Source organism: Homo sapiens, chromosome 17, assembly GCF_000001405.40.
Source record: "Homo sapiens chromosome 17, GRCh38.p14 Primary Assembly".
Lineage (NCBI taxonomy): Eukaryota > Metazoa > Chordata > Mammalia > Primates > Hominidae > Homo > Homo sapiens.
The window spans coordinates 61,261,091-61,275,355 of NC_000017.11; the positions used below are offsets into that span (position 1 = coordinate 61,261,091).

A 14,265-nucleotide genomic window follows, 5' to 3' on the forward strand; every position below is an offset into this window, starting at 1 on the left:
TTTGCCTGGAAGTCATAGAAGAAGACTGAGGTGCCCCCATCAGAATATAAAGAGTCAGAAACTTAAAACCAGACTAAAAAGGGCCAACCCATTAGGGAAGTACCTCCCTGGGGAGCGGGTGGACAGGGAAAGAAGGTTTGATGGCAGTTATTAAACACTGATTCAAGAATATGTTTAGAGGAGCTGCGACCCAGGGAAATCCTGCCTCCCAGTCTTAGCTGGGCGAGGGACAGTTAAGTAAAAAGAGTTCTGCTTATTCTCTGCTGCAGGATGCTACCCCCTGACCCTTTATAAGTCAGCCTTGCTTGATTACTCCTTTTAATTCAAGGCTCAAAACAGCTTGTAAAGTTTTTTTTATCATTCCTTTCCAGATTGTGTGGGCCACACTGTAGCATTTTGTCCACATCTGTTTTCCAACCTCATTACTCTTCTGTTATTACATTCATTAGAAAAAAGAGCTGTTTATTTCTTTTCCGCATGTTTTCCCCCTAGTTTCAAAAGCTAAAATGGTAAATCATGTGGTGTTTGATGTGACCATCTCCACGATTTCTAGTGTACAAATTGATGGTTGCATATACAGGAATTGGTTGAACCTTATTGTTTAAATTAGCTATACCCCAGCCAAAGCTCACAACTCATATGAGGCTGTTTCACTGTAGACTGAGATTGTCAAGACTTCTCATTTCTGTATCAGAATGGTTATATCATTCCCTCCAGGGCGCATAGCAATAACGTGAATTTTTTTGTCTAGTATGACTCCTGCGCACTTTAATTTGAATATAATTATTTAAAGACACATGGAAGCTGGGGGCAGAGCTTTAGAATTTAGGATGGTTTTCCTAGTGAAGAGAAAGCTAAGAGAGATGAGACAAGGATGTCCACGAATACCGTTTCTATTCAGTGTTATACTAGAAGTACTACCCAGAGCAATGAAATAAGAACAACAGATTAGAGGAATAAGAATTGGAAGAAAATAGGACACAGCTGACCTTATTTGCAGATTATATTATTTGCTTCAAAGACAATCCAGAAGAATGAACAAACTGTTAGAATTAATAAAATAATTCAGCAACATTGCTGGATACAGAATTTGAGGATGTTCTTTCATGATGGTAATAACCAATTAGAAAAAAAAAAGATCCTATTTGCAATAATAATCAAAAGCACAAAGAAGCTAGGAATAATCCTTAGAAAACATATGCAAAACCTTTACAGGAAATGTATAAGGCAAAGTTGAAGGAATGAGAGAAGACCCACATAAATGGACATAACATATTCATAGATAGGGAGACTTTTTTTTTTTTTTTGAGATATAATTCTCACTCTTTCGCCCAGGCTGTAGTGTAGTGGCACGATCTCCACTCACCACAACCTCCGCCTCCTGGATTCAAGCGATTCTCCTGCTTCAGCCTCCCAAGTAGCTGGGATTACAGGCACGCACCACTGCGCCCAGCTAATTTTTGTATTGTTAGTAGAGGTGAGGTTTCGCCATGTTGACCAGGCTGGTCTTGAACTCCTGACCTCAGGTGATCCACCCGCCTCGGCCTCCCAAAGTGTTGGGATTACAGGCGTGAGCCACCTTGCCCGGCCAGGAGACTTAATTTTTTTTTTTTTTTTTTGAGACAGAGTTTCACTCTTGTTGCCCAGGCTAGAGTGCAATGGCACTATCTTGACTCACCGCAACCTCTGCCTCCCAGGTTCAACCAATTCTCCTGCCTCAGCTTCCTGAGTAGCTGGGATTACAGGCATGTGCCGCCACCCCCGGCTAATTTTGTATTTTTAGTAGAGATGGGGTTTCTCCATGTTGGTCAGGCTGGTCTCGAATTCCTGACCTCAGGTGATCCACCCGCCTCAGCCTCCCAAAGTGCTGGGATTACAGGCATGAGCCACTGTGCCTGGCCCAGGAGACTTAATATTTAAAGGCTGTCAATTATCCCCAAGTTAATCTAGAAATTAAATGAAATTCAGATGAACATCCTAAGAAGTTTTGAATTACTCAAAGTCTTAGCAGGAAACCAATGGCACACACAGAAGTGTTCACCGAGGGGAGTCAATGAAGGACCTGTTTACAAAGGTGTGGACAAAGCTTAAGGAAACCAAGAAACCAACAGGGGAAGGTGAGGCACCCTAAGCTAGCAAAAGCAAAGAAGCACTGTTAGCACCCCTGGGCCTGAAGCTGCAAGCAGATGGAACCGTTATCAGAACCCAGACAGTGCTCTAGCTTTAGCTGTAGAGAGGCCCACCTGGCAGGCCTTCGGTAGAGGAACAGCTGCTACTAACCTGGACATAGGGGTGAGAGAGCCAAGGAGAGAAATACCTTGACCTGTTCCTCCTTTTGCCCTTCATTCTCTTTCCATTGACTCTCATTAGCTGAATATAAGAAGGAGAGACCCAGTCGATGCTGCCCATGCAGAGGTCAGCCTCATGGGACACAGAACAAGGTGAAGAGTGGAAAGTGTTTCTGAAGGAGCAATCAGAGAATATCCAGTGCAGGTGTTTTTCATAGTATTTTTCAAGGTGATCTTGAACTTCATGTGGAAGATCGGAGGATTAAAACCAGCAAGGAAAGTTTTTGAAGCAACAGACCTATTATGACTTTTATTTAAAATCTCAATTTCTTTCCTGCCAGATATTAACATGTATTATAAAGCTGTAATAATTAAAGCAGAATGGTATTGTTTCAGAGAAAGACAGACAGTGGAACATAATGTACATATATGTAGAAACTTGATATATTACAAACCAGTGCTGAAAGATGGACTGTTCAGTAAATTGTGCTGCGACAAATGATTATCCACATAGGAAAAACTTAGGATTTCATTTTAGGGTAGCAAAAATAAAAAATTCTGACCATGCATGTTGGCAAGGGTTGGATACTCATACACTGTTGGTAGAAGTATAAATCGACATAATCCTATCAGCGGGTAATTTACAATGTCTAGTAAAGTTATGTGGATTCTAGAGCCAGACTATTCCCTGTCTGTAAAATGGGGTTAACAAGTGATCCTCAGAAGATTATTGTGAAGATTAAATGAGTTTATATATATATAAAATTATATAGATATAATTCTTGGAACAATGGTTACTACAAAATAAGCTCTATTTAAATGTGTCATTATTATTGTTATTTCTAGATCTTGCAGTTCTACTTCTAAGTATGTAATCCAGAGAAAATTCTGACTTGTGTATAAAAGAAGACTCATTCAATAATGTTTATTTCAAATGAACAAAAAAGCAGCTGAAAAAAATCATGATATATTCATTGTATAGCAGTAAGAATGAATGAAGTAAACCTGTATGTAGTAACATAGGTAAGTCTTTTTTTTTTTTTTTTTAGAGAGAGAGTCTCACTCTGTTGCCCAGGCTGGAGTGCAGTAGCATGATATTGGCTAACTGCAACCTCTGCCTCCTGGTGCAAGTGATTCTCATGTCTCAGCCTCCCACATAGCTGGGATTACAGGGATGTGCCACCGCGTCCAGCTAATTTTTGTATTTTTAGAAGAGACAGAGTTTCACCATGTTGGCCAGGCTGGGCTCAAACTCCCAACCTCAGATGATCCACCCACCTCGGCCTCCCGAAGTGCTGGGATTACAGGTGTGAGCCACCATACCCAGCCTCATAGATAAGCCTTAAAAACATATTGAGAGTGAAATAAAACCAGATTGCAGAGGAATATGAATAATCTGATATTGAGGAGGCAGGAGACATGAGAATGGGAAATGGCACAGAGAGATTTCAGCCCTATCTCTAATATCTCATACCTTTCAAACATTTTCTAAAATCTGAGCCAAAAAGAGAGCTAAGCCATTAATTATGGTCAGGTTTTAGAAATATAAAAGGGATATTAGAAGTATGATAGAGAGAAATTGCTCTACAGAGAAATTGCCCTGTGTGGTCTTTGGAGGCAGACAGCCCTGTATTCAATTCCACTGTTTATTTTTATTAGCTGTGTAATCTTATATAAATTATTTAACATTAGTTACCTCACCGGGTTAGTTTGACAATTACATGGAGTACTATATATAAGAAAGCACAATACCAGCCAGGCGCAATGGCTCATGTCTGTAATCCCAGCACTTTGGGAGCCTGAGGCAGGCAGATCACCTGAGGTTGCGAGTTCAAGACCAGCCTGACCAACATGGAGAAACCCTGTCTCTGCTAAAAATACAAAATTAGCCGGCATGGTGGCGCATGCCTGTAATCCCGGGAGGTTGAGGCAGGAGAATCGTTCGAACCCGAGAGGCAGAGGTTGCAGTGAGCCGAGATCGCACCATTGCACTCCAGCCTGGGTAACAAGAGTGAAACTCTGTCTCAAGAAAAAAAAAAAAAGAAAGCACAGTACCTGATACATAACAGATATTCAATAATTGTTCCCTTCCTTCCCCTCTTATACAAGGAAGAAAAAAGACGAATCAACATCTCCCTTGGAAAATACTCTAGACCAAATTTCTGCTTCTGTGGGCCTGGTTTCTACAATCTTGTTTGGCTACAATTCATGTTGACTTTACGTAAGGATTGCCAATTCATGCCCAAACTTAGTGAAGCAAGCTCACTTGATAAAGAAATGAATTTCAGGATTTAACTATGTAACACCATCATTCTTTTTTCCCCCCCATCAAGTAGTATATCTGCCAGGGTTTGTGTGTGTCATACTGTCCTGGACTCTGTATAGCAAAGATTTAATGACCATGGACCTTACCTTTGTTCTAAAAAAAAAATCTTTGACTCCACCATTTTTATAATAAACACTTGCAAACTCACACCTTCTCTTGCTAACTGAGCAGGAGAATAGTTGCTTGTTTCTTTCTCTATATAAAAGACAAATGTCTTTATCTTGTGGAAAATCCAGTGTCACCTTTCATAGATACTAAAATATTTCCTTTCTTCATTTCTAATGAGACTTCCTGTTTGGTTATTGTTTTTATAAAGATATGAAATCCATATGAAAGCTCTTGTGGTCAGGGTCAGTTATTCCAAGGGGGAAGCCTGTCCTCACGTTCATTAAAATGATATCTCTTCTAGGCATACCTCTTTTGATCATTAACGAGCAACTGAATACTTTTCTTATGAATACTTCTGTAACAACCAAATTAGCAAATATAGCCTTGTGCTTCAGGATTTGATCTTATTTTTACCTTAGTACTTGGGAGTTTAGAGTAAAACATGCAATGCTAAGAAGAGACTGTGCAATAGGTAAAGGAGACAAATGGCTTAAAGAGAAAGAGACACACACCATCCACACACATGATCATTAGTGGACAGAGAAAACGGCCAGTATGTGGAAATTAAAAGGACGATCTTTCTTGTATGCTTCTCACAAGAAAATTCATCCTGAGCAATTTCATTTCAGGCAAGGCTTGGGAAAGGGGAATTAGTTTCCAAAGAAACCTATGAGAAGCACCTTGGGCCTGAATGATTTAACACTGAACTAAGACTTGGTATCTGAGAAGCTGTATCTAAGAGTGGAGAGATGAAATAAGAGGCTTAGGAAAATTTTCCTGCCTAGTGTCCTCAGGGTTTACCAAGCTGACCTTACATGTAGGTACTGTTTTCCAAAACTGACATATTTAGGAAATCTTTAAAAATATCTAATTGCCACAATTAGTATGACTCACAGCCCTTTGCACCTTCTGTTGTTATGGAGTCCATCCCATTTCGTGTTAGAAATTTTCTGTAATGTAAGCCTATTTAGTCTATTTTCTCCCACTTTGTAAACACCCTTTTTCCATAGTTGCAAATGTCTCCACCATTATTTGTTTCAATTTGTAAATTTCAGAAAGGCTAGAATAAACAGTGTCCTCACACACGCACATTCATCCATTGCCAGACATGCACTATCTCTGGCCAGAGATATAGTCAAAAGGGTACCCTCCATACTTTCTTTATAGCACCAGAATTCCAAAGTGAGATTCTTTGCTTCTTGTCCCCTTTCTACCAGGATAGGAAAGTTAATTTTTTGTGTTGTTGTTTGTTTGTTTGTTTTTGAGACGGAGTCTCGCTCTGTCGCCCAGGCTGGAGTGCAGTGGTGCGGTCTCGGCTCACCGCAAGCTCCGCCTCCCGGGTTCACGCCATTCTCCTGCCTCAGCCTCCCAAGTAGCTGGGACTACAGGCATCTGCCACCATGCCCAGCTAATTTTTTGTATTTTTAGTAGAGACGAGGTTTCACCGTGTTAGCCAGGATGGTCTCGATCTCCTGACCTCATGATCCGCTCCCCTCGGCCTTCCAAAGTGCTGGGATTACAGGCGTGAGCCACTGCACCTGGCTGGAAAGTTAATTTTTAAATTGCCACAGTGGTTGGTAAATTAAAAGATATTAAGTCATGATGTCAAGACTTTTATTTTTTGAAAAGAAAAAACTAATTTAGGCCAGGTGCGGTGGCTCACGCCTGTTATCCCAGCACTTTGGGAAGCCAAGGCGGGCGGATTGCTTGAGATCAGGAGTTCGAGACCAGCCTGGCCAACTTGGTGAAACTCTGTCTCTACTAAAATACAAAAATTAGCTGGGCATGGTGATGTGTGCCTGTAATCCTCCTGGATTACAGGCACACATCACCTTGAATCCAGCAGGCAGAATGAGCCAAGATCGTGCCACTGCACTCCAGCCTGGGCGACAGAGCAAGACTCCGTCTCCAGAAAAAAAAAAAAAGAAAAGAAAAGAAGAAAGGTGGCAAGAAGGTGAAACATGGAATTTTCCAGAGCAAAGCCAGGAAGTACTGTGTAAGAAAGGACCATGTGATCTGCAACATGACCGTAGGGGAAGACTCTGCCCTCCTTTGTTTTATTCTCCTCCACGTCCGAGAACCTGTCCTATATAGGTCTTCGTGTGTACAAAGCTCACCGAAAACCCATACTCACCCCTCCCCGAGAAAACTGGGTCACATATCTCTTGAATATTTAATGTAATGTCCTACATTTGGTGCCTAGAGAGAAACTGTTACTCACTTGTAGATGTCACTCAGGCCACAGACAGACTGTCATTCACTGAAGACACAGTATCCTTAGTCACATTTGATCTTGGGGACTCTGCATCTCTGCTTCTTCCACCTTTGTCTGTTTTGCATTTGTCATTTATTCATTCAGTATTTTCTATTAGCTAAGGATTGATTGCTTGACTACTCAGACTTGCAAATTAATAAGACATAGACTCTGTGTTTAATGTATATTCCTCAATCTAGTTGGGAAAGTAGAATTTTACAGTCAATGATAGTGTTTCTGCCTGTCTATCCCTCTCTTTTTGAATCACTACCACCGACCCCCACCACTACCACAATTTTTTCATTTTCTTTTGCTTTCTATTTGCCAGATTCAAATTATTTTTTAAATTGTCATATAAAAGAAAATATAACATTATCATCTTAAGTGTCCACTACAGTAATACGTATGTATATTATGGTACAACAGCTCACTAGAATTTTTCATCATACAAAACTGAAACTCTATACCCATTAAACAATTCCCATCCCCACCAGTAATTGTCTTTCTGGGTTTTTTTTGTTTTTTTTGTTTTTTGAGACACAGCCTCATTCTGTCGCCCAGGCTGGAGTACAATCTCGGCTCCTGGGTTCATGCAATTCTCATGCCTCAGCCTCTTGAATACCTGAGATTACAGGCATGCACCACCAAACCCAGCTAATTTTTGTATTTTGAGTAGAGCTGGAGTTTCACCATTTTGGCCAGGCCAGTTTCAAACTCCTGACCTCAGATGATCTGCCCACCTCAGCCTCCCAAAGTGCTGGGATTACAGGCGTGAGCCACCACATCCAGCCAGTAATTGTCTTTTTATGATTTGCTTATTTCACCTAGCATGATGTCCTCAAGAGTCATCCATGTTGTAGCATATGGCAGGATTTCCTTTTTTTTTAAGGCTGAATAATATTCCCCTGTATATATATGTATATACCCCATTTTCTTTATCCATTTATCCATCAGTGGACATTTAGGTTGCCTCCATCTCTTTGACTATTGTGACTAATGCTGCAGTGAACACAGGTGTGCAAACATCTCTTAGAAATTGTATTTTCTTTTCTTTTTTTTTTTTTTGAAATGGAGTTTCGCTCTTGTTGCCCAGGCTGGAGTGCAATGCTGTGATCTCGGCTCACCACAACCTCAGCCTCCTGGGTTCAAGCAATTCTCCTGCCTCAGCCTCCCAAGTAGCTGGGATTACAGGCATGCACCACCACACCTGGCTAATTTTGTGTTTTTTAGTAGAGATGGGGTTTCTCCATGTTGGTCAGGCTGGTCTCGAACTCCCGACCTCAAGTAATCCACCTGCCTCGACTTCCCAAAGTGCTGGGATTACAGGCATGAGCCACCGCGCCCGGCCATTATATTTTCAATTCTTTTGAATATATATCAAGAAGTGGGATTGCTGGATTGTATATGGTAATTCTATTTTTAATGTTTTGAGGCGTCTCCATGCTGTTTTCCATAGTGACTACACCATTTACATTCCCACCAACAATGCACAAGGGTTCCAATTTCTCCACATCCTTACCAGCACTTGTTACTCTCTGTTACATTTGTTTGTCTGTTTGTTTGTTTTGATAGTGGCCAACTTAATGGGTGTGAGGTGATCTACCATTGTGATTCTGATTTGCATTTCTCTGATGATAGTAATGTTCTGCTAGCAACTTTTCATACAACTTGTTGGCCATTTGCAGTTATTCTTGGATTAATGTCTATTCAATTCCTTTGGCCTTTTTCTTTCTTTCTTTTTTTTTTTTTTTAATTAAGACAAGGTCTTGCTCTGTTGCCCAGGCTGGAGTGCAGTGGCATGACCTTGGCTTACTGCAACCTCCGCCTCCCGGGTTCAAACGATTCTTGTGCCTCAGTCCCCTAGGTAGCTGAGATTACAGGCACGTGCCACCACGCCTGGCTAAATTTTTGTATTTTTGGTAGAGACGGGTTTTTGCCATTTTTTCCAGGCTGGTCTCAAACTCCTTGCCTCATGTGATCCACCCACCTCAGCCTCCCAAAGTGCTGGGATTACAGGAGTGAGCCACCAGGCATGGCCTTCTGCCATTTTTTTTTTTTTTTTTTTTTTTTTGAGACGGAGTCTGGCTCTGTCACCCAGGCTAGAGTGCGATGGTGCGATCCCGGCTTACCGCAACCTCTGCCTCCCAGGTTCAAGCGATTCTCCTGCCTCAGCCTCCTGAGTAGCTGGGATTACAGGTGCCCGCCACCGCGCCTGGCTAATTTTTGTATTTTTTTTAGTAGAGATGGGGTTTCACCATGTTGGCCAGGCTGGTCTCGAACTCCTGGCCTCATGTGATCTGCCTGCCTCGGCCTCCCAAAGTGCTGGGATTACAGGCATAAGCCACCATGCCTGGCCCTTTTGCCGATTTTTTTATCAGGTTGCTTTATTGTTGTTGAGTAGTAGGTGCTCTTTATACATTCTGGATGCTGCCCCTCATCAGATACACAGTTTGCAGATATTTCCTTCCACTTTATAGGCTGCCTTTTCACACTGTTGTCTCCTTTGCGACACAGTTTTTAAATTTGATGTCGTCCTATTTGTCTACTTTTGCTTTCATTGCCTGCGCTTTTGTTATCATATGTTACAAATCATTGCTAAATCCAAATGTAATGAAACTTCTCCCCTATGTTTTCTTCAGGTAGTTTTATAGTTTCAGGTTTATATTTTTTGTTTTGTTTTGTTTGTTTGTTTTGAGATGAAGTTTTGCTCTTGTTGCCCAGGCTGGAGTGCAATGGTGCAATCTCGGCTCACCGCAACCTCTGCCTCCCAAGTAGCTGGGATTACAGGCTTCAAGCAATTCTCCTGCCTCAGCCTCCCGAGTAGCTGGGATTACAGGCATATGCCACCATGCCAGGCTAATTTTGTATTTTTAGTAGAGACCGGGTTTCTCCATGTTGGTCAGCCTGGTCTCGAACTCCTGATCTCGTGATCCGCCTGCCTCAGCCTCCCAAAGTCCTGGGATTACAGGCATGAGCCACCACACCTGGGTATATTTAGGTCTTTAACACATTTTCAGTTTTTTGTACATGGTGTAAGGGAAGGATCCAACTTTTATTCTTTTTTTTTTTTTTTTTTTTTGAAATGGAGTCTCGCTCTGTTCCCCAGGCTGGAGTACAGTGGCACCATCTCGGTTCACTGCAACCTCTGCCTCCTGGGTTCAAGTGATTCTCCTGCCTCAGCCTCCCAAGTAGCTGGGATTACAGGCGCATGCCACCACGCCCGACTAGTTTTTTGTATTTTTAGTAGAGATGGGTTTCACCATGTTGGCCAGGCTGGTCTTGAACTCCTGACCTCGTGATCCGCCTGCCTCAGCCTCCCAAAGTGCTGGGATTACAGGTGTAAGCCACCATGCCCGGATTTTTTTTTTTTTGTCTTAGGTGGAGTCTCGCTCTGTTACCCAGGCTGGAGTGCAGTGGCGCGATCTTGGCTCACTGCAACCTCTGTTTTCTGGGTTCAAGTGATTCTCCTGCCTCAGCCTCCTGGGTAGCTGGGATTACAGGCGCCCGCCATCACGCCCAGCTCTGTGTGTGTGTGTGTGTGTGTGTGTGTGTGTGTGTGTGTGTGTGTTTAGTAGAGACGGGGTTTCACCATGTTGACCGGGCTGGTTTCGAACTCCTGACCTCAAGTAATCCAGCTGCCTCAGCCTGCCAAAGTGCTAGGATTACAGGTGTGAGCCATCACACTCGGCCCCAACTTTATTCTTTCACATGTAGTTAACCAGTTTTCCTAGAACCATTTGGGGTTTTTGTTTTGTTTTGTTTGAACAAGGTCTCTCTCTGTTGCCCAGACAGGAGTGCAATGGTGCAATCATACCTCACTGCAGCCTCACACTCCTGAGCCCAAGCAGTCCTTCTGCCGCAGCTTCTCAAGTTGCTGGGACTACAGGCACACACCACCATGCCCAGCTATTTTTTTTATTTTTTGTAGAGATGATGTATCGTTCTGTTGCCCAGGCTGGTCTTGAACTCCTGGCCTCAAGCAGTCCTCCCACCTGGGCCTCCAAAAGTGCTGGAATTAGAGATGTAAGCCATCATGCCTGGCTACCATTAATTGAAGAGACTGTCATCAAATTACGTTTTAAAGAAAAGACTGAAATATATTCCTTCTATAGAAAAGCACTTCAAACATATTGTATACAGAAGCAATCAATGAGTATGCAGCCAAAATATAAGAAAATAAGAATGTTAGAATCTTTTTGGGTGCTTAATGAAAAATACTAGGTTGTTTTTTAGGATTTGGTGATATTTATGGTGTTTGTGAGTGTTTAAAAACATGTAATTTTGCCCAGGGCACAGAGGCTCATGCCTGTAATCCCAGCACTTTGGGAGGCTGAGGCGGGCAGATTGCTTGAGCTCAGGAGCTCGAGACCATCCTCAGGAACATGGCAAAACCCTGTCTCTACAAAAAATACAAAAATTAGCCAGGCATGATCTCATGAGACCACATCTGTGGTCTCAGCTACTCGGGAGGCTGAGGTGGGAGGATTGCTTGAGCCCAGGAGGTCAAGGTTGCAGTGAGCCGGGAGTGCACCACTGCACTCCAGCTGGTGACAGAGTGAAACCCTGTCTCAAAAAAAAAAAAAAAAAAAAAAAAAAAAAAAGCAATTTTGATCATCTCTCCTCATTCTAAGTAAAAATTACTTTCATATATAAGTCGTAGTGTGTAAGTTTCAGGCTATCCATAACTAGATCTACTCCTGTTCAGATACATTACATTTTGTATCAATTTTGCCTTTTTATCTCTTGATATCTGCCCCAATCTAGATGTGTTGACCTTCATACCTGAAACAGCATCGTCTGTGGTCTCTCTTCACTGTCACGCTGGGGAGTCCCTTTGGCTCACTTCTGCATTAGATCTCCTATGCCCTCCTGTATCCCCTGTGTTCTTTCTTGGCTTACTTCCTTGCCTTGGTAATTCCTTTATGTAGATCTGAGTTTCAATTTTCCTTCACCCAGATTTCTGTTAACATTTCTTGAAATACCAGTATGCTAGCTAGAATTCTCTTAGCTTTTGTCTAAAAATGTCTGTTTTGCCTTTATTTTATTTTTTTTTTTTTCTGAGACATGGTCTCACTTTGTCACCCAGGTTGGAGTGCAGTGGCATGATCATGGCTCACTGGCAGCCTCAACCTCCCGAGCTCAAGCGATCCTCCCACCTCAGTCCCCCAAGTAGCTGGGACTACAGGCGCGCACCACCACCCCTGGCTAATTTTTTGTATTTTTTGTAGAGATGGGGTTTTGCCATGTTGCCCAGACTGACTACCTTTATTTTAAGGGATATTTTGCTGAATATAATGCTGCATTTAAAAAATACCATTTTTTAAAAAGCCAGATGTCATTCTGGCTTGTGTGGATTCTGACAAGAAGTTAGCAGTTATTCTTTGTTCTGTATGTCATATGTCTTTTACCTCTGGCTACTTTTAAGATTTGTTTATCTGTTTCTCACCATTTTGATGATGATGTGCTCTGGATTGCTTTTATTTATGTATATCCTATTTTATAGTTTGTTGAGTTTCTTGGTTCTATGAGTTTATCATTTTTATCAAATTTGAAAATTTCCTGGTTATTTTTTTCAAAAATTTTTAATGCCTGACCCTCCCTCTAAGACTCCGGTTTCATGTATCAGACCACTAATATTGTCGCATGGGTCACTGTGGCTCTGTTCTTTTTTTTTTTTCTTAGAAGTTTTCTTTTTCTCTGTACTACAGTTTAGTTTCTATTGCTGTATCTTCAAGTGTATAGGTCTCTGTAGTGTTTAATCTTTTGTCAAGTCAATTTAGTGAATTTTTTATTTTTAGAAGTTATGTTTGGTTCTTTTTATATATCTCCCGTTTCCTATCTTCATTCTTTTTTTTTTCCCCCACTGGCTTAATTTATTTTATTTTATTTTTTAAATTTTATTATTATTATACTTTAAGTTTTAGGGTACATGTGCACAACGTGCAGGTTTGTTACATATGTATACATGTGCCATGTTGGTGTGCTGCACCCATTAACTCGTCATTTAACATTAGGTATATCTCCTAATGCTATCCCTCCCCACTCCCCCCACCCCACAACAGTCCCCGGTGTGTGATGTTCCCCTTCCTGTGTCCATGTGTTCTCATTGTTCAGTTCCCACCTATGAGTGAGAACATGCGGTGTTTAGTTTTTTGTCCTTGTGATAGTTTGCTGAGAATGATGGTTGTGTTCACACTTTCTTTAAAATCTTTGAATTTTTTTTTTTTTTTTTTTTTTTTTGAGACAAGTTCTCAGTTTGTCGCCCAGGCTGGAGTGCAGTGGCACAATCTCTGCTCACTGCAACCTCTGCCTCCTGGGTTCAAGCAGTTCTTCTGCCTCAGCCTCCTGAGTAGCTGGGATCACAGGCGTGTGCCACCACACCTGCCTAATTTTTGTATTTTTAGTAGAGATGGGGTTTCACCATGTTGGCCAGGCTGGTCTCAAACTCCTGACCTCAGGTGATCCACCCACTGCGGCCTCCCAAAGTGCTGGGATTACAGGTGTGAGCCACTGTGCCGGCCTGAACATGTTTTTAATAGCTGTTTGAACTTCCTTATATTAAAAACCTACAGCCAACACCAGACATAATGAAGACTGAAAGCTTTCTCCTAAGATCAGGAACACAGCAAGGGATGTCCACTCTCACCACTGCTATTCACCCAAGTACAGGAGGTTCTAGCTAGTGCACTAAGGAAAAATAAACCAAAAGCATCTCAATTGGAAGGGAAGAAGTAAGACTGTTTCTATTGCTAGGAAACATAATTGTCTGTGTAGAAAAACCCATGAAATCTAATTTTATTAATTTATTTGGAGACAGGGTCTTGCAGTGTCACTCAGGCTGGAGTGCAGTAGTGCAAACATGGCTCACTTCAGCCTCTATCTCCTGGTCTCAAGTAATGATCAGCATTTGAGTAGCTGAGACCACAGATGAACGCCACCATACTTCACTAATTTTTTAATTTTTTTGTAGAGATGGGGTCTCAGCATGTCGCCCAGGCTAGTCTCAACTCCTGGGCTCAAGCGATCCTCTCACATCAGCCTCCCAAAGTACTAGGATTACAGGCATTAGCCACTGCACCCAACCCTGAAATCTGTTTTTGAAAAGCTACTGGAACTAATAAGAAGTTTAACAGCATCAGAACATAAGATCGATATGTAAAAATTGATTGAATTGTCTATGTGCTATCAACAAATAATCTGAAGTTGAAATTTTAAAACAATACCATTTATAATAAGTAAATATCATAGATCTTGAATGGAAGTATATAGAATAAAGGATTCATTATAGG

At 41.7% G+C, this 14,265-nt stretch overlaps 1 protein-coding gene across 8 annotated transcripts in view; it reads left to right on the plus strand.

Annotated features, from left to right (window-relative positions):
- BCAS3 (BCAS3 microtubule associated cell migration factor) overlaps positions 1-14,265 on the plus strand; it is a 714,981-nt gene that overhangs the window by 583,240 nt on the left and 117,476 nt on the right. The gene's annotated exons all lie outside the window — the stretch shown is intronic.